General features: G+C 45.8%; 1 protein-coding gene across 25 annotated transcripts in view, besides 1 other annotated feature; it reads right to left on the bottom strand.

Annotated features, from left to right (window-relative positions):
* The window catches only part of MTHFD1L (methylenetetrahydrofolate dehydrogenase (NADP+ dependent) 1 like), a 236,186-nt gene that overhangs the window by 40,580 nt on the left and 175,745 nt on the right, over positions 1–19,861 (bottom strand). For 7 of the 25 annotated variants that reach the window (XM_047418609.1, XM_005266907.6, XM_011535730.2 and 4 more), the window contains exon 27: positions 3,944–4,069. The exons of the other annotated variants lie outside the window; for them this stretch is intronic. In XM_047418609.1, coding sequence (XP_047274565.1) covers positions 3,956–4,069 — 114 coding nt within the window. In that variant the 3' untranslated portion in view covers positions 3,944–3,955. Of the gene's footprint in view, positions 1–3,943; positions 4,070–19,861 lie in introns of those variants that run through there. 25 annotated transcript variants of the gene reach the window in all.
* Positions 43–1,242: an enhancer, noted in NCBI's record as "P300/CBP strongly-dependent group 1 enhancer chr6:151381202-151382401 (GRCh37/hg19 assembly coordinates)". NCBI's record gives its function as "activates an origin of replication core promoter dependent on BRD2, BRD4, P300/CBP, MED14 and CDK7 cofactors, with strong dependence on P300/CBP, by STARR-seq in HCT116 cells {active_cell/tissue: HCT116}" and the evidence as "EXISTENCE:reporter gene assay evidence [ECO:0000049][PMID:35650434]".

The raw sequence follows: 19,861 nt of genomic DNA, 5'->3' as shown, positions 1-19,861 counted from the left end.
ACTAAGTGTATCTTGTGTGACTCTATGGGGAGAGTACTCTGGAAGCTTGCGCCTGAGCTCCCCTGGACTTGACCCCACGTGCTGTTTCCTTTTGCTAATTTTGCTTTGTATCCTTGTGCTGTAATAAATCATGGTCTTAGGGGCTCCCAACACAACTATCTTCCGCCTAAAATTGTTTCTAGGTTCTTTATTGCTTATCTAAACAAATGACAACCCCAGTCATTAAGCGAACAAGTCAGAAATCTGAGAGCCATTTCTGCATTCCCTCTTCCCCGCTCCTGTTCATTGAGTTTAGTTCATTCTAGTTCGGTAATTGCTCTCATTCCCATCCCCTGCCTACACCTCAGGTTAGGCCCTGGGTATTTCTTGCCTACTACTTTCTAAATAGGTCTTCATGACTAATTTCTCCGTTTTCCACTCCACCTTCCAGACTGCTGCCTGAGTGATCTCTCTGAAACATGAATGTAATTATGATATTGCTGTACTTAAAATCCCCAGGTCCTGACTCCTAAGCTTGACGCTCAAGGCCTCACAAGACCTGGGTCTTGCTTTCCTGCCCAGTGTCACAGCTCATTCCAAATCTCCTGTTTCCTCCCCATGCAGTGGCCATGGTAAAGGCTTACAGCAATGTTCTCTCCTGCCTTCATGCTGCGGACTTGCTGCCTCCTTGTCCCTCGACCCCTGGTGAGTCTGTTCTCGTCCTTCATGATCCGGCTTAGGTAACCCCATTCCTGGCCTGACTTCCCTATCCCTGCCAGCCCCCCATGGCATCTGCTCCCTGGCTCCTGGAGCAGGGGGCTCCCTCTGTCCCAGACGTCAGCTCTTTCAGCTGTCTCTATATTTAACTTGTGTGCCTCTCTAGCCTGTGAACTCTGCAAGTGCAAGGTCCAGGCCTATGTTGTTGTTGTTTGTTCTTCTAATGGCCTAGTACCCAGCACTCCTCAATAAATATTAAATGAGTGAATCAGAAATGAGGCATTTGCGTGGTTGCACAGTGATGCATCCATTAAGCTAGAATGGCCTAATGAATCATCTCCGTTCATCTGAGGATTGTGTACCAAAAGGGAGAAGGTTAGTCACTTACAAGGAGAGAACTCTAGCACCTGGACTCTCCTGGTAAGAACAATAAAATCTCATTCTTCAGGGCTCCCTTTTCTGAATTCCACATGGTCCTATACCTTCTGGCGTCCCTATTCCAGCCCAAGGCAATGCAATTATTTACTATGTAAACGTTAACTGAGTTGTTTATGGCAGGGTTGCTTCCCACAAATGCAGTGCTGTTCATCTTAGAGATGTCCTCTTGCTGACCTTGGCCTGCACTGCCCTTCCCTTAAATCCCAATATCCTTGCTCAAGTCTCTCTTGTACCCGCCCTACATTAGAGGAAGGGCTTGAGTCTGGAACCAGGCAAAGCCAAAACCCACTGAAAGCATCAACTCGCTCGTAAATAAAGCGGGCGACTCCCTAGTGCATGGTGTAAGACACCGAGTTAGAGCCTTCCCTTACCATCCCGTAACTGAGCAGCACAGACCCACCGTGCAGAGAGCACAGCCACCCTCCAGACTGTGGGTAGGAAATGCAGCATCATTTCCACTTTCGAAACTGCTCTGGGAAACGCCAGTCTCCGGGCAGCTTGATTAGCAAGAATACTTCATATCACAAAGAGTGTTAGGAACAAAACTTATTTAACAAAATGGTAAGAGCAGAGCCTCAATACTGTGGGAAGGACCTGATGGCTTTTAGAGCATTTTACTCCTTTGGTAGTTCTCATTTCTCACCAAAAAAGAACATTTTCAAATTTTATATTCTGATTTTATAAAAACAACAATCATGGCCAGGTGCGGTGGCTCGTATCTGTAATCCCAGCACTTTGGGAGGCTGAGGTGAGCGGATCACCTGAGGTCAGGAGTTCGAGAGCAGCCTGGCCAACATGGCAAAACCCCAACTCTACTAATACAAAAATTAGCTGTGCGTGGTGGCGCAGGCAGGAAAATCGCTTGAACCCAGGAGGCGAAGGTTGCAGTGAGCCGAGATCATGCCACTGCATCCCAGCCTGGGGAAAAGAGTGAGACTGCATCTAAAACAACCACCACAACCACCACCACCACCACCACCACCACCAGTTTAGAACTGTAGCAGCCTGGAGCTAAAAGGCCCTGGAGAACATCATCCCACCTCAGGGGGAAGGGAGCCACTCTGTGGCCAGGGCAGGACTTTGGGCCCAGAGAGCCCGACTCCTTCAGCGCGCTTACCACTGCTCCAGCCTGCCCCTCACTGAGGCACTGCCTCAACTTTGATTAAAAAACCAACACATTTCCTTTAGAAGCTCTGTGGGCCAGGTGCGGTGGCTCACGCCTGTACTCCCAGCACTTTGGAAGCTGACACGGGGTGATCACCTGAGGTCAGGAGTTCAAGACCAGCCTGGCCAATATGGTGAAACCCCGTCTCTATTAAAAATACAAAAAAAATTAGCCTGGCGTGGCGGCACATGCCTGTAATACTGATGAGATGCTATTAAATAAGTTAAAACAGTAAAAAACAACCCTTTGGTCCATACCACAGGGGTCCCTGACTGATGTGCACGTGTCCACAAGACTCACATGGCCAGGCCAGGCCAAGCCACTCAGGCAGGGGCAGGAGTCCTTGAAAAGGAGGGTGGCGTGGGCCCTCCTGAGCCATGGCTGTCCCTTGTCACAGAGGCAAATTACACAGACTCCCATAAATAACAGTCTTCACCATACAGCTCCACCTCGGGGGTTAAATGGGTTTCTGTAGGCTAATTGCCGTCTCTCATACTGAAAATCTGCAAATGTATATGGAATTAATTCTGGCTGGCTGTCAGCCAGTAGGTCATCCTTCAAAGCAAGCAAAACACATTTCTGTACAGTGTACCCACAGCTTTCTGAAAGATCAGAAATGCAGCCTTTGCCAGGACAAATGCCAAAAACGGATGTGACAGAGCCCGAGCATCAGTGCTCCCACGCCACCTCCTCCACTCAGAGCCCCGGCACGGCCCCAGCTGGCCCTGACCCACCCAGAGGGTCTTGCTGTACTAGATACTCCTCTTTCTTATCTCTCTGTTGAGAAGCTATTTATATTTCATTAGAATGTCAGTGCAATAAACCAGCTTAAGCTCTTGCTAGGTATGGAAATGAGCAAGAGAAAAGGCAAAGCTTAAGCCCTCCATGGATAAGCCACAGGTTCTCTGAATAGCAGTAAAAATAAGGCCTCCAGCTGGGCATGGTGGCTTATGCCTGAAATCCTAGCACTTTGGGAGGTGGTGGCAGGCAGATAATGTGCGGTCAGGAGTTTGAGACCAGTCTGGCCAATATGGTGAAACTGTCTCTTCTAAAAATACAAAAATTAGCTGGGCATGGTGGCACGCGCCTGTAATCCCAGCTACTTGGGAGGCTGAGGCAGGAAAATCACTTGAGCCTGGGAGGCGGAGGTTGCAGTGAGCCGAGATGGCACCACTGCACTCCAGCCTGGGCCACAGAGCCAGACTCCGTCTCAAACAAACAAACAAAAGGTCATGCATACGGCTCTCCTCGAAGGTAAGACTGTTCTGTGGAATGTTTTGAGAAAGAAAAGGTAGAAATACTATCTTATCGTATATGTGTGTGTGTGAGTATTTTTGACAGGGGGAGTCTAGGTCTCATGGGTCTTTTTGTTTTTTTAAGACAGGGTCTCACTCTGTTGCCCAGGCTGGAGTGCAGTGGCGCAATCACAGCTCACTTCAGCCTTTACCTCCTGGGCCCAAGCGATGGTCCCACCCCAGCCTCCTGAGTAGCTGGGACTACAGGTGCACACCACTGAGCCCAGTAACTTTTTGTAGAGATGAGTTTTCATTATGTTGCCCAGGCTGGTCTCAAACTCCTGGGCTCAAGCAATCCACCCACCTCAGCCTCCCAAAATGTTGGGATTACAGACGTGAGCCACAGTACCTGGCCGGTCTCTCAGGCCTTAAAGCAGTCTGAGTCACCACCATTATTATATTTTGCCTCCAATTTTCCATATGTCCATTCCAGAAAGGGGAGGTTGATTTCAGCGAAGAACATGAGCAGGTTTGCCTTAGAATGAAATTTAAAAATTAGATTGACAGAAATCAGGATCATGGAAAATACATAATGGAGCAGAGTCAAGATTCAGTTAGAAGGCAGGCACTGGGTCCAGCAAGCCTACAATTACCAGAGCTGAACTGTTCATTAGTTATAATTAGAGCAAACAACAAAGGACACTCAGCCCCAGCCCCAGGATATGTCTGGTTCATATGGAGAAGGCATTTTCATTCCCTGGGGGAAAAAGCAAAAAACCCCAAAATACAAATAAAACAGACAATAACAACAAACAAACTAAAGAACCCCAACATTTATTGTCAGGACTGAAAAAAATTCATTCCACAACTGGAACCCACTGTGTGCCAAGTGCTAGGCCTGGCATTTAGGATTCAGAGATGAATAGGATTCCGTCCCTTCCCTCCCAGGTCAGAACACCTTGTGGGGAAACAGACAAGCACACAGGCTTGTAACTGGAGCTGTAAGTCTACAGTAGAAGTCCTGCTTGGAAAAGGAGCAACCCAGGAAACCCTCTCTGTGAGCTTTCCAGAGGGGATGGCAGGTGAGAGAACAGGGCCCTGCTGTTGCGTATTGGTGAGGATCTTCCCCACAGCACCAGTGTCCCTCAAAAGGTGACAAGAACACGACGTTATAGAACACGTCGCTGAAGGCAATTCCACACAATATAAATGCACAGCTCTAAGAGGTTCAGCTTGGTCTGGGGATAAAAACTAGACCATCTCCAGAGGAATGGACAGACTGCATTCTTCAGATAATTCTCCAGGCATCATTGCCCAAGCAGGCCTTTCAGAAAAAGCCGGGTGGCTGTGGTTCAAAGTCCTATTCTCTGGCAATGGCATGGAGTGAATCCACTCTGCCATGCCGATGGAGTGTGCTCCCATGCCCAGCACGTCAGTCACTTGGCCAGCAGGGTTGACAATACTTTTGTGAAACTGTGTACCCAAATCAAGTCTCTCACCTAAAAAGGTGACTAACCCACCCAAACACAGAACAACAGCCAGGGAATCTCTCAGAAAATAGTTCTAGACTTGCTTCAAGAATATGAACCTAACGGATGACAGAAAGTCCAGGATCCACACCATGCCACGTGGTGGGCCGTATCTGGTTTAGGAGAGTTCCAGAGTGCAAGTGACGGGTCAGCCAGAAAAGCTGTAGGAAAATCTCCACAAGGCACAATAGACATGTTCCCCTTTGAGCAACACAATTTTCTAACAGCCAATAGGAAATAACAGTTCGAAAATTTATCCTAAAATTTACTAAACTTTTAAAGGCTATGTGGAATTAATGCATTATCAAGCAAGAGTAGATAATTGGAAGCTACCCTTTCCTATTATACAGTTCTTGGAATCAAGAGTTACTTACAGTAACTGATAGGATGTGAAAATAAGACTATAGAATCAGCACAAAGGCCAGGTGCGGTGGCTCTCGCCTGTAATCCCAACACTTTGGGAGGCCGAGGCAGGCAGATCACCCGAGGTCGGGAGCTTGAGAACAGCCTGACCAACATGGAGAAACTCTGTCTCTACTAAAAATACAAAATTAGCCGGCGTGGTAGTGAGCACCTGCAATCCCAGCTACTTGGGAGGCTGAGGCAGGAGAATCACTTGAACCTGGGAGGCGGAGGTTGCGGTGAGCCGAGATCGCGCCACTGCACTCCAGCCTGGGCAACAAGAGCAAAACTCCATCTCCAAAAACAAAAAAAAAAAAAAAAGATTCAGCACAAACATAGTATATAATATTTCTGGGGTTGAATCCTGGGTTTGCTACTTTCTATCTTTACTAGGAGGGCAAGTTCCTGAAGCTCTTCCTGCTCTGGTTTCCTTGCATGTAAAACCGAGATGGAGATTTTAATCTACCTCAAGAGGTGCTGGGGGCATTAATGAGTTAATACACACAAAGCACTCAGAGCACTAGCTGGCACCTAGTAAGTGCTCAATAAATGTTCTAGTTAAGTTTTTTTTTTTTCCTTGAGACGGAGTCTCCCTCTGTCACCTAGTCTAGTCCAGTGGCGCGAACTAGGCTCACTGCAAACTCCATCTCCTGGGTTTAAGCGATTCTTCTGCCTCAGCCTTCTGAGTAGCTGGGATTACAGGCACCCAACACCATGCCCGGCTAATTTTTGTATTTTTAGTAGAAATGAGGTTTCACCACGTTGGCCAGGCTGGTCTCAAAATCCTGACCTCAAGTGATCTGCCTGCCTCAGCCTCTCAAAGTGCTGGGATTACAGGCATGACCCACCAGGCTCGGCTGAATTACGGTTTTAATTTTTATCTTTGTAATTTATTTAAACATTCCTTTATTCCTGCTTGCTTTTCTATGTATTTTTACACTGTTGACGTTATGCTCTACTAAATCTCATTTTTCTCCACTCAACACACTATTTCTCCAAGTCATTAAACATTTTAAACACGTAATCACTGTACATGTACATATTTAGAGACAATCATTCTGGTCCCGAAACTACCTAGGCATTACTATCTTTAGCTTCCTTTTGATGGGTCTTTTTTGGATTACCCATTTTATTTAGGGGGAAAGAACTGATTATTTGGGGGTAGAAAGATGTCAGTTCATGTGCTCAATAGAGAAGATGCAGGGGAAAAAATTACAAGTCAAGATCTTTGAAGATGTACTGAACTGCTGCTGGCCGAGTTTTTGTTTTTAAAGTAATGACGTAGAGAGCACTGACTGCATGTTGATAACACTCCGGAGAGGGGCCGGGAATGTCAGAGTCTGCTGCAAAGGGGACTCGTGCACTTCGGATGAACTGGAGCACTCCATCATTGTCCTCAGCTTGACTCTGTGATCACAAAGAAGTGCTAGAGAAGGATTTATGGACGCGTGTTTTTTCAATGCTGCAAAGATCCCCCATCATGGTGTCCCTGTACCATTAACCATTTACTGTCCAAATAAGATTTCCCATCTGAAGCTCTAATTCATAAACTTAACTTTATTACTCTTCATGAAACCTTCTGTTCTTTTTCGTGATGTTGTTGTAGCAATCATTTTTTTTCTGTCTGAAATACTTCCTACTCCAAAGAAAGATATAAGTTTCCAATTTATGCCTCAAATGAAAACTAACAATGCTTCAAAGACGCTGAATGAATCTCCCCTTGGAACCTGGCTGTTAGGTGGTTTGGTGTCTCTCTTCTCTCTCCCTGCCGAAATGTTTCCATCTCAAAATAGGAGCACATTCCACTCTTTTATGACAAACATCATAAAGTTAAAATTAAAAGTTAAAATCATAAAGTTATCAAAATTAAAATAACCTCCAGATTCCAAACCAGCTTTAACAAAAAGTCAGTTACCGTTATCATAAATAATAAAAAACTGTACAGCTATCTGTGCAATGATAAGCATTTTTTTTTTTTTTTTTGAGATGGAGTCTCACTCTGTCACCCAGGCTGGAGTACAGTGCCACAATCTCGGCTCACTGCAACCTCCACCTCCCGGGTTCAAGAGATTCTCCTGCCTCAGCCTCCCTAGTAGCTGGGATTATAGGAGTCCAACACCATGCCCAGCTAATTTTTGTATTTTTAGTAGAGAGGGGGTTTCACCATGTTGGCCAGTTTGGTCTTCAATTCCCGACCTCAGGTGATCCACCTGCCTCAGCCTCCCAAAGTGCTGAGATTATAGGCATGAGCCACTGCGCCTGGCCAGCGTTTTAAACTATATATATTTTTAGATGGCACAGAGGATCACAAATGAATAATTTGCTAAATTCAGTATGTATTTACTTGGGAGGGAACACCAACAACAGCATGGACCCAACTAGGAGACCTGACCTATAAGTATTTTCAGGCCCAAAGTAAAAACTCTCTATTATTTTGAGCATTGTAGTTGGGAATTACACTTCTCTTGGATGCTAAAGTACAAAAGAGAACTTTTCACTTATCATTGTGATTTTATAGCTCTGATGACAAGTTAACTCTTTGCTACTGGAGGTAGTGTCAACCATGCCATAAAAAAAAACAGAGCAAAGATAATGGAAACCAGGCTACTGGTCTCCATGGCCTTATAATAGTTGGGATATAGCAGCAAGTAAGTTGAAAGTGGAGGATTCTCATGGATCAGAACTATTTGTACAAGTTGGACAAATACTGCATGGTATCTCAAACAGAGAAGAGATTACTTCCTTTATTTGCAGGACAATTCTATTTATCTGTGTAATATAGTTTCCAACAACTTTTGATCTGTAGCAAATAATAGTCCATTTAGAAACCAAATTATTGAGGCTTAATGACTAGATGGGTATAGACCCACCCCACGACGGGCGATCTCAGTGCAGTAATGCTTCATTTGTCCCTTTATTCAGCCTGGAGCTACCTCTTCTGACACTTAAGGCCTTCTTGGTTACCTAGGACAAGATCCATCCTGGGGCTGGGCTCAGGCTCACACATTTTGGGTAGGGGAAAACAGCTGGAAGTTTTGCTTTTCTGCATTAAAGAGTGAAGAATGGCCTAGAGCCCTTGCATGGTGGGCATGTAAGAGGGGACCATCATTCACACAGGCTGCTAGTAATGGTGCTGCTGGAGCTATGCAATGGTCTGATCCCCTTATTCCCTTGGTTCCTTAACCCTAATTTATGGCTTACCCTACTGCCTTCAGGGTCCAGCTCAACTCCCAGCGGCAGCCTCTAAGGCGCTCTGGAGTCAGGCTCCTGCCCACTGCCGTCTGGAATGTGCCACCCTGCCTGAGTCATAAATGCTCCTCTTTTTAAGACACCTCAGGGCACTCCTGGGTAGAGAAGCAACCATCCTTCTTCTGTATCCCTTGGCATCCTGGCACCTGTGAGCCCTTTGTTTGCATGTATCAGCTTGTCTGCCTCCTGCCAACACTAAGCTTCCAGGACAGGGATTGGGTCTTTCCAGTCTTGGTAACCTCAGTGCACAGTGCATAGCAGACACGCAAGAATGTTTTGAACTGGATGGAAATGTAGAGACTGTATATCACTCCCAATGTAAACAACTCCCCAATTTTCAGCTCTGGCCTCTCTCCTGAACTCCAAAATTGATTTCTAACTGTCTGATGGCCAACTTGGCAGGAAGTCAAATGTCAGCCTCGGTGCAGGGCACTCGCGGGTCAGTCACTTCACTGCCGTGCCGGTTTGAAGTCGTTTATCTCTCTGGGTCCATCCTTTCAGGTCCCCAGGACTCACCTGGACTCCTTGCTCACATCCCATCCCTTGTCAGTTCCGGCGACTTCCACTCCACTGCGTCTCCCGGCACACATGCCATCCTCTCCACTTCCAATGTTATTGCCCCCACTGGAAGCTCCTTATCAATGAGCCCCCAGGCTCACGCACAGACCTCTCCAGGCCTCCCGCCTCAGTCCCTGCCTCCCTCAGGAGGGCGCAGCCAGGGTGATGGGCCTGCAGTGTCTCAAATGCCCCAGTTTCACCCCAAGCCCCACTCCTTAGGCAGCATTCTTGGCCTACCCTGCCCACTGTGGTCTCTGCCGTATTTGAACATCTACTGCATTTAGCACTTACACCTTTCTCTTGGCAAAGGCTGCACTAATTGTACTTGCTTTAATTCTCCAGGTGTTTATGCCTTATTTATCCAAACATCCTGCTGCCTCTGGGGGGGTATGGCAGCAGGTTTTCACTCCCTTGTGATGTGTCTCAATGCTCAGCATGCACGGCCCTGTGAGTACATGCCGACTGACCTACTGAAAAGAAAAGCCAAGATGTTTAAAGTCCAGTTATTCCTGCGCAAAGATCCCATAAACCATAGTAGCCACAGAGCGCTAGAACTCTACCTCTTATCCCTGACTATGCTCCCAGGGTGAGTATGGGGAGTGATGAGCTAATCTATACAAAGCATTTGGAAGGTGTGCGACCTTTGCTAAGAACAGGTGATGGTGATGATGATGATGACGCAGCCTGAAATGAGAATGGCAGTGCATGGGCGGAAAATGTGGTCAAGCAGCTTCCACACTAAAGGCCATATGGCCCCACGATCCAATCTGGTGGGTGTGCTATCATACAAAATATATTTCATCTTTGTCCTTGGTTCCAGTCACAGGTTTCCTAAAACTCTTGAAATTTCTGATAGGGGTGATTTTGCTCTATTCATAAGGAGCTCCTTCAATAACACCTGAGCTTAAGGTAATGGAGTGACGGGGTGGGCCTCCAGCTAGCCTCAGGATGGAAAGACCAAGTAAGTAGAAGATTGGAGGGCTGGAACTTTCAGCCCCACCCATCAACCTCCAGGAAGGGTGGAGGGCGGGGAGTGGAGATTAAGCTCTACAAAAATCCTTGAACAAGACTTGATGAGTTTCTGGGTTGGTGAAGGCATCCTTGTGCCAGGAGGGAGGTGAACCCCAACTCCACAGACCATGCCCTATGCATCTCTTCATCTGGTGTTCATCTGTGTCTTCTATAATAAACTGGCACACATAAGCGTGTTGGGAAAAGCTCTCCTCAAACCGTGTTTTCCTCTGCTGTCGCACCACAACAGTCATCAACATAGAAGACTTCTGTGACCAAATGTGTATGGGGTTTCCCCATACACCAAGCAGCAGACACCAGGTGGGGTGGCTTCCAGTTCAGTTCCGACCCTGTCTACCCAGAGATAGTGTCAGATCCCACAGGGCCGAGTGCCCCCCACCATACCAGTCGCAAGTCTGGGCCTCTGGAACTTCTGACCAACTGGTTTCAAATTGGAGTTCCTAGGACTCCCCTCTTTGGGTTTGATTAATTTGCTGGAGCAGCTAACAGAACTAAAGGAAACACATGCTTAACATTTCCAGTTTATTATAAAGGATACTACAGGCCAGGCACGGTGGCTCACGCCTGTAATCCCAGCACTTTGGGAGGCCAAGGCGGGCGGGTCACCTAAGGTCAGGAGTTCAAGACCAGCCTGGCCAACATGGTGAAACCCCGTCTCTACAAAAATACAAAAACTAGCCAGGCATGATGGTGGATGCCTGTAATCCCAGCTACTCAGGAGGCTGAGGTGGGAGAGTCGCTTGAACCCAGGAGGCGGAGGTAGCAGGGAGCCAAGATCATGCCATTGTATTCCAGCCTGGGCAGCAGAGCGAGACTCTGTCTCAAACAAACAACAACAACAAAAAGATATTGCAAAGGACACATATGAAGAGGTGTGTAGGGCGAGGTATGGGGGAAGAGGTGCAGAACTTCCATGCCCGACCTGGGTGCCCTGCCTTCCAGGAAGCTCCACATGTCTGGCTATCTGGAATCCCCTTGAACCCTGTCCTCTTGGGTTTTTATGGACACTTCATGACATCCACATTCCTTCCCACAAGGTGTAGGGTGGGACCCTCTCATGGGAGGGTCTTAAGACTCACAATCAGAAATGGGGGAAACATTACAGTGCAAGGAGGGCAGGGAAGGTCAGAGGCCTGCCCCTGAGGCGTGACACCCCCAACATTATAACAAAAGGCTGTAAGAAGGTTTATGGGATTCAGGAACCAGGAACCATGGACGAAAATCAATATATATCATAACACCTCTGTAAATAAGTGTTTCTCTCAGTTCTGTGAGCCATCCTAGGAACTTAATTGAACCCAAGGAGGGGGCTCATGCGAACCCATTTTTTTTTTTTTTTTTTGAGATGGAGTCTCACTCTGTCTCCCAGGCTGGAGTGCAGTGGCAGGATCTCAACTCACTGCAACTTCCGCCTCCTGGGTTCAAGCGATTCTCCTGCCTCAGCCTCCCTAGTAGCTTGGCTTACAGGAGCCCGCCACCACACCCAGCTAATTTTTTTTTTTTTTTTTTTTTGAGACGGAGTCTCGCTGTCTTGCCCAGGCTGGAGTGCAGTGGCGCGATCTCCGCTCACTGCAAGCTCCGCCTCCCGGGTTCACGCCATTCTCCTGCCTCAGCCTCCTGAGTAGCTGGGACTACAGGCGTCTGCCACCACACCTGGCTAATTTTTTTGTATTTTTAGTAGAGACAGGGTTTCACTGTGTTAGCCAGGATGGTCTCAATCTCCTGACCTCGTGATCTGCCTGCCTCGGCCTCCCAAAGTGCCGGGATTACTGGCGTCAGCCACTGTGCCCGGCCTAATCTTTGTATTTTTAATAGAGATGGGGTTTCACCATGTTGGCCAGGCTGGTCTCGAACCTCCGACCTCAAGTGATCCACCTACCTTGGTCTCCCAAAGTGTTGGCATTACAGGCATGAGCCACCGTGCCCGGCTGTGAATGCGGTTTTTAGCCAGGCAGTCAGAGAAGTATGCATGGCCTGGATTTGCAATTAGTGCCTGAAGTGGGGCTGGTCTCATGGGACTGAGCCGTCAATCTGTGGGATCCGACACCATCTCCAGGTAGACAGTGTCAGGATTGAATTGAATAAGAGGACACCTGGTTGGTGTTTGTGAGAAATATTTGGTGTGTAAGGAAAAGCCCCCACACAGCCAGCCACAGAAGCGTGCTATTGTTGAGTGTGAAAGTACAAGGGAAAAACAGTTTGCTGTTTTGCTTTACAGTGGGATATTTGATCCGTAGGTCCATATCTAAGCACATGAATAGAATGTGTTTGGGCCTGGTTTTTTAGTCTTGCTGGTCAGTAACTGGTTCGACAAGAGAGACTAGCACATTGATCCCAAAAGAACTAGGCCAAGAGCAGATAGGATTTGTGGGCACTTGAGCCTCTTATTACCTCCTTAAAAGATGTACTTTTCTAGACTTCTTTGGAGCCTGGGATTCTAGTACTGGTGAGTTTCACTGGCAGCAGACTCCTTGAAGATTCCCTAGCCCTCTGCAGGGTTGGCAGGCCACTAGCACATTTAGTTGGCTCCTAGGGTATGTTCTACACTGGACTTCCCATTGTGGGAAGGCCAAGAGAACTGAAGACACAGTCTCTACTCTGGAGGTGGGAAGTGGGGGAGGTGGTAATTTAATTAACAGTAGATGGTGGGTGAGGCGACTTGGTAAGGTAAGAGGACACACAAAGGAAGTAACTGCAGTAAACCTTAGCTGGCGGCACAAGTGAAGAGGTGTGCTTGAAAGAGAAATGGAGTGTCTGGAGGTGGGTGAGTATATTCTGGTAGGTGTGACAAGGGCACCGTTCCTCCATCACCAGTCCTGGGAAAGGCATGTGCTATGGTTTGGCGCTGTATCCCCAGCCAAATCTCATGATGAATTATGATCTTCAGTGTTGGAGGAGGGGCCTGGTGGGAGGTGACTGGATCATGGGGGTGAATTTCCCCCTTGTTGTTCTCGTGATAGTGAGTTCTCATGAGATCTGGTTGTTTAAAAGTGTGTGGCACTGCCCCTTCACTCTCTCTCTTTCCTGCCGCCATGTGAAGATGTGCTTGCTTCCCCTTTGCCTTCCACCATGATTGTAAGTTTCCTGAGGCCTCCCCAGCCATGCTTCCCGTATAGCCTGTAAAACTGAGTCAATTAAACCTCTTTTCTTTATAAACTATCCAGTCTCAGGTAGTTCTTTACAGCAGTGTGAGAACAGACCAATACAGCATGGGATCCCAAGTAACTAGGCATTCAGAGAAGAAACACAGATATGTCTGGGAACTGGATGACGGAAGGTACAGGGAAGCACAGTAAGTAACTTTCATGGGTCCTACACTCTACAACATATTCTTGGGGTTGGAATGAGTCAAACAGGAGACTGATGTCTAGGATGGAATTGGCTCTTTTTGTTCCCAGCTGTAGGTCTCTTCCTTAACAGATCACGGTACCTTCATTACAAATGGCCTGGGAAGCGTACTTAATGCAGAAACCCCAGCAAATTCTTAGGGGTTAGTCATGCAGTTATACATTTTCATTCTGGGACTTCTAGGGGCTTAATAAAATCCCTTCATTGGATCATTTAATCCAACATAAATTATTTCCCTACACCTACTTTATACTTGCTCCCTGATTTTATACCAGTGAGTATAGCCTGATGTAATTAAACATTCTGAATTTTCAATGATACCCAGAGAAGAGTGTGATAACCAATTCTCTCAAAAGCAATTTACTGCAAATATTTTCATATACGGTAAGTCCTTACTTAACATTGTGGATAGGTTCTTGGAAACAGTGACTTTAAGCCAAACGAGGTACTGTGTGGCTGCATAACTTAACTCTTTTTCCTATCAATTAGACTATGGGAAAACTGGTTTCATATGCATCATGTCTTTTTGCTTAAAGTGGTAGTTTCCAAGAACCTATCAATGACATTAAGTGAGGACTTATTGTAATCTGATATCTGCGGGTGGATAATTTAAGGAACACATACATAGTTAAGCCTGTAAACTGCCGCGAGTTCCAGATATTATCCGTTATATTTCTCCACAATTACAATTCCAGTTTTGGGGTTTCTTTTTACTCATTAGATTTGAAAACCCAATTCCAGTTTTAAAGCTTGACCCTTTTCTTAAAAGTTTAACTTCTCTTTTTATTCAGGCTTCCCACTATACCCTCAAACTGACTCTGAGGGTGGCCTGGCTATCTAATTTACAAAACCGGTATCTTGGTTTGCATTCATTTTATTTCCCTTGCATATATTGCTTAGCTGCTTCTGATTATACGCCTCTTAGCCATGGCTGGGATAGAAAAGTGTAATAAGAGAAAAGTGTAACTAAGAGACATAGAAGAAAGAGCAATTCCATGAGCACCAGATACTTTTATGGGTGCCTTTTGGAAGCTCTAAATTGAGATGTATCTTTGTTGTCAATTTATGCTATGAATCCATACGAAAAATGGGGGGAAGAAAACAAGTAGGCTGTAGATGAAAGTGGAAGAAAAATGAGTCTATATATATATATATATATATATATATATATATATATATATATACACACACACATATTATATATATATATATATTACCAGTTGTATGAAAGTATATGAGTCAACATCTCATCAATACCTAGAAAAAATAATAGATCAATATGCTGATTTTAGGGGTGGACACAAAAGTGTTATAAGCATCTTTTATCTTTTCTTTTTTTCCCTCCTTGACTCTGAAGAGAAACACCATTTTTCTATGTATGCAAAGAGTAAAAAATCAGAACTAATACACAGGGATTAATAGCAGTGAATTACAAACTCAACTCAGTGGTATAGTACCTGGCAACATTATTACTCAGCATATTTCCCTGGCTGAGGCTGATTTCATTTAAAGTAGTTTTATACTTGTGCTAAAAATAAGTGCATATCACACTAGGGGAGAGAAGATCCTCTACACAAATGGATTGGACCTAGATAACCTTATGTACCAGAGAGGAAAACATCATTCTCATGAGTCACAAAGCTTTCTTCTTCTTGTCAATATGATAAACAGTTTCTGGAAATTGAGAACGACGCTGGTTACTTTCCTTCCTCCTGAACACACCACACTGAGGAGACAGGGATGACTCCTTCCCTATGGGACAGACACACACGTAGCTTTCCCTGGGTTGTGGAGGAAGGCACGGCCACAATACCATCAGCAGCCTGCGGCAGGGACCTCACGATGAGAGGAAGCAGTGGATGCCTGGGCCAGGGAAATGCATATTTGGGAGAAAGCAGGAAATTCTGATGTAGAGATAGGGAAGAACCCTGGGGAAAAGGACTCATGCTGGGAGGGGAGGAGGAAACCACCAGGATCCCAGGATGGGAGACAAAGGACACAGGGACACAAACAAAGTGAGGCCAGATGGAGAGGACAGGCTCATGGGGAGGGCAAGCTCACCGGCAGAGCATGAGCCAAACCTGGCTTATTTCACACTCATCAGAGAGATTGCACAGATGGGGCCAAACCAGGACCCAGGAGCATTGGAGAGACGAGGGCCATTTCAAAGACTTTTGTAAAATAAGCTCAAGGTTTCTTTGTTTATTTGTGGGTGTGGGAGTGGAAAAGTAGTAGGGAAAGTGGAGAGAGGGGGAAAAAGGGATGTGTGATTTTGCAGGCAAGATGCTCCCTGCGGAGGTCCTGGCGGACCTGCTGGGGGGAGTGGCGTTCTGCACGCTCTCACATCATGGGGAGCGCATGACTACATTACTGCTTACACATCTCCAAGTGCAGCTTGGCGGGGGGGTGAATGTTTAATTGTCTCATTGTAACTGGCCGTAAATCTCTGGAAAATGTGAAGGGTCATGCATTTGATTTAAACCTATGAGGGCTGAATGAATTCTCCTCCATGCCTAACCGAGTGAAGCAAGCGTATAACCAACCGTGCATCCCTAAGTAGGGCCGGTACAAAGGGGAGGAAACACCTCCCCACTGAGTTCACAAATAACTTCATCACTGACCTGAATCAGATCCAGCAGGAAACGAAACACTGAGTACATACTTTTACAGTAGAGGGAGGGGGACGGAAAACAAACCGAGCTGAACTGAAACGTGAGAAAGAGCAGAATGGCAGTGAGTCCACGGGCCGGGGCCGCAGCTTTCTTTTTTCATGGCCCTCAGTCCAGTAACCCCACCCAGCATTTGTAGCGGGTGACATCACTGATGCCCCAAACACGCTCCAGCAGTTTCCTGCTTTCCAGAGTCCAGCCAAGCGATGATGTCAGTGGTGCACCTGGGTAAAGATGTGGCAGGGCCGGGTCACAGGGAGTGGGGACAAAGGCCAACCCAGTTAAATAAACTGCTGGTCTTCTAGGGCCTGGTCCCTGGGCAGGTTTCCACCATGAGATAGGTACAGCCCAGGCCAATCCCGACAGGAGGAAAAAAGCATGTAGTTGGCCGGGCGCAGTGGCTCACTCCTGTAATCCCAGCACTTTGGGAGGCTGAGGCAGGTGAATCACGAGGTCAGGAGTTTGAGACCAGCCTGAACAACATAGTGAAATGCCATCTCTATTAAAAATACAAAAAACTAGCGGGGCGTAGTGGCGGCCACCTGTAATCCCAGCTACTCGGGAGGCTGAGGCAGGAGAATCGCTTGAAACCCGGAGATGGAGGTTGCAGTGAGTCGAGATTGCGCCACTGCACTCCAGCCCAGGTGACAGAGTGAGACTCTGTCTCAAAAAAAAGAAAAAAAAAAAAAAAGAATGTACCCATGCGGTGCCTCCTGTCACCCTCTGCCCAGAAAGGGCAGAGGGGCCAAAGTGAAGGAGTTACAGGAAGACAGAGGGAAGGAAACGGCACAGAGATAACCACATGGGGGGCAGGCCCTAAGCTGCTGGGACCTCCACAGTGTATCCCTTTCCTCCGATTGGGAGAAGGAAGCACCAGTCGTCTTTCTCCACAGTGCCAGGAGCCACCCTGCCCCCAGAGGTGCCCTACATGGCACTGACTACCATCTAAATGCTTCTGGATAGTTTCATTCCTTGTAGATGATATTCCAAATATTATCAGTTGTATTTCTCCACAATTACAATTCCAGTTTTGGGGTTTCTTTTTCCTCATTAAATTTGAAAACCCAATTCCAGTTTTAAAGCTTGACCCTTTTCTTAAAAGTTTAACTTCTCTTTTTATTCAGGCTTCCCACTCAACCCTCAAACTGACTCTGAGGGTGGCCTGGCTATCTAATTTACAAAACCGGCCAGGCTGTCTAACCCCTAGATTCCAGCCCAGAGTGTTGCCACAAATTGCTGTCAAGACACGCCTCTATGTCCCATGTTTGCCAGTGACAAAAGGGTGCGTATTCTAAGTTCTTCAAGTCTCTCTCACTGCCTCAATGCGAAGTCAATGGAAAACAGTCAAATACATCAAAAATTAACTTCCAATGGATTCTACTATGAATTCCAACTTGGTCGGACACCTCTCCAGGCCAACTGTTATGAAAATGCATTGTTGTTTTAAAAAACACTGTGAGAGATGGCCGGGCGCAGTGGCTTACTTGAGGTCAGGAGTTTGAGACCAGCCTGGCCAACATGGTGAGACCCCAGTCTCTTTGAAAAATACAAAAAATGAGCCAGATGTGGTGGCATATACCTGTAGTCCCAGCTACTTGGGAGGCTGAGGCAGGAGTATCACTTGAACCTGGAAGGCGGAGGTTGCAGTGAGCCGAGATCATGCTACTGCACTCCAGCCTGGGCGACAGAGCAATACTCTGTCTCAAAAAAAAAAAAAAAAAAAAAAAAGAGAAAACACTGTGAGAAGAAAGAAGTCAATTATCCCCTCTCCAACTCCCAACACAGTAAGCAAGAAGGGCCCAGGAACAAATGAACAGGGAAAAACAATCTTGCATTTGCTTAGTGGAATGTGGGGTTTGCACACATTAGTCAGAGCTAGACAAATCATACTGAATACACTTCTTATGGAAACGTTCTAGCTCTTATGGCCTTTCTTTGCTGTCCCAACTTTTGAGGTGCGAAAACACAGCAACACAGCCAGGACCGGCCAGGTGATGGCATGGAGCCCGCTCCCACAGGCTGCGTGTGTGTTCTCACTCTCTTGCAACTGGCCTGAGTTAAGCATTCTCCCCAAGCACTTGCAGTTTATCATCGCCCTATTTACTGTATTTTCATGTTATAAAAGTGATATACGCCCAATGTAGTAATTTGATCTATATGGAAAAAGAGAAGAAAAAAAGCTACTCATAATAACACTGTCTAATTTAAGGTTTTGGTGTTGTCTTTCTAGTCTTTTTCTACATGGAATGTAATTTACTTCTCAATAATATTGTTTCATATACTTTGCTTACATATTAGTATTTTTGTCATGAAATTTATGCCAACTGATTAAACAGCCCTTGTAAATTATAGAAACTTAAAGACAATATCAAAACCATGTGACCACAAGACAAAGACCACCTACTACTAAATTATTTTTGGCATGAGATTATTTTTTGAGAAGTTTTATAAACTATTAGGTTTATTGAACTCTATAAACCATAATCCTTGAAAGAATTTTGGAAGCATACCATAACAGGGTAATTTGTAGTAGAATATAGGGTTGGAAAACCTTAAAAAACAACTTGCTTGTTTCTTCCCATATCAAAGATTTGTATTAGAAAAACTATCTCTTACAAAAAGATGTACTAAGTGGTATTATGTCGTTCAAGAATCTTGCATTATTTCCTAGCTTTCAATAATATGTATCATGTCATAAAAAAGAGGGAAGAATACATAAAATACATATGAAGCTTACTAGGAATGAAGAAAGTTATTTTAAGAAGGAAAAATTGGCTACCATCAAGGAATATGGAAAACACTAGCAATGCATGTAAGAATGACCTCAAAGGTCTTAGATGACCACGAGCTGGGAATGCTTGTGCTGGGGGCTTCAGTTACAACAGCATGGGGCAGTGAAATAGACTAGTGAAGCTGTTACACCAGTTAATAGTATTTATTATTATTTGTGGTCACCAATGCCAATTAAAGCAATAATTAAATAGAACATGACGAAATAATTCAATGGTAGGAAAAAAAAACCCTGGCCTATAAGTGAACATGGAAAGTAAAAGTAAATATTTAGAAGCGAAATCTGGAGCGGAAAAAAGCTCCAGCATCTCACCATGGGGTCTTCCAAAGCCAGCAATGCTGGAGATGTTTATTGTTTAAGGATGGACTTGCTTGGGTTGGGATTCTCCAACTAGAGCCAGAGGGGAGCTTCTCTGCCTCCCTTGAGGACACAACAAGAGGGGCTTTCTGCCTTTGTTATAAAGCCCGCCGCATTCTGTGCCTGTATGGTTTTATTTACTGGAGTCTATCATAAGGCCTGTGAGGGAAGGACTGAATCTTTCTCATAGCTGTGGGGCTGATGGCCCTGCGTGCTGTAGGCATTTAATAATTCACTGAGTAAATGAATGAACCCTGCAGGAGAATGGGAGGCTTTCTGATCCTGAGGTCTCAGTTTGGACTATCTTTCTGGAGTGGATAGATGAATATGTATTTCAGCAGCACCCTAATAAGTGCACATTGGGTGACTAAGCAGAAGAGTGATTCATTTTG

The sequence above is a fragment of the Homo sapiens genome, chromosome 6 (genome assembly GCF_000001405.40).
Source record: "Homo sapiens chromosome 6, GRCh38.p14 Primary Assembly".
In the NCBI taxonomy this organism is placed as follows: domain Eukaryota; kingdom Metazoa; phylum Chordata; class Mammalia; order Primates; family Hominidae; genus Homo; species Homo sapiens.
Note: the sequence above shows the minus strand (reverse complement) of the source record. Positions and strands in the feature narration are given on the sequence as shown.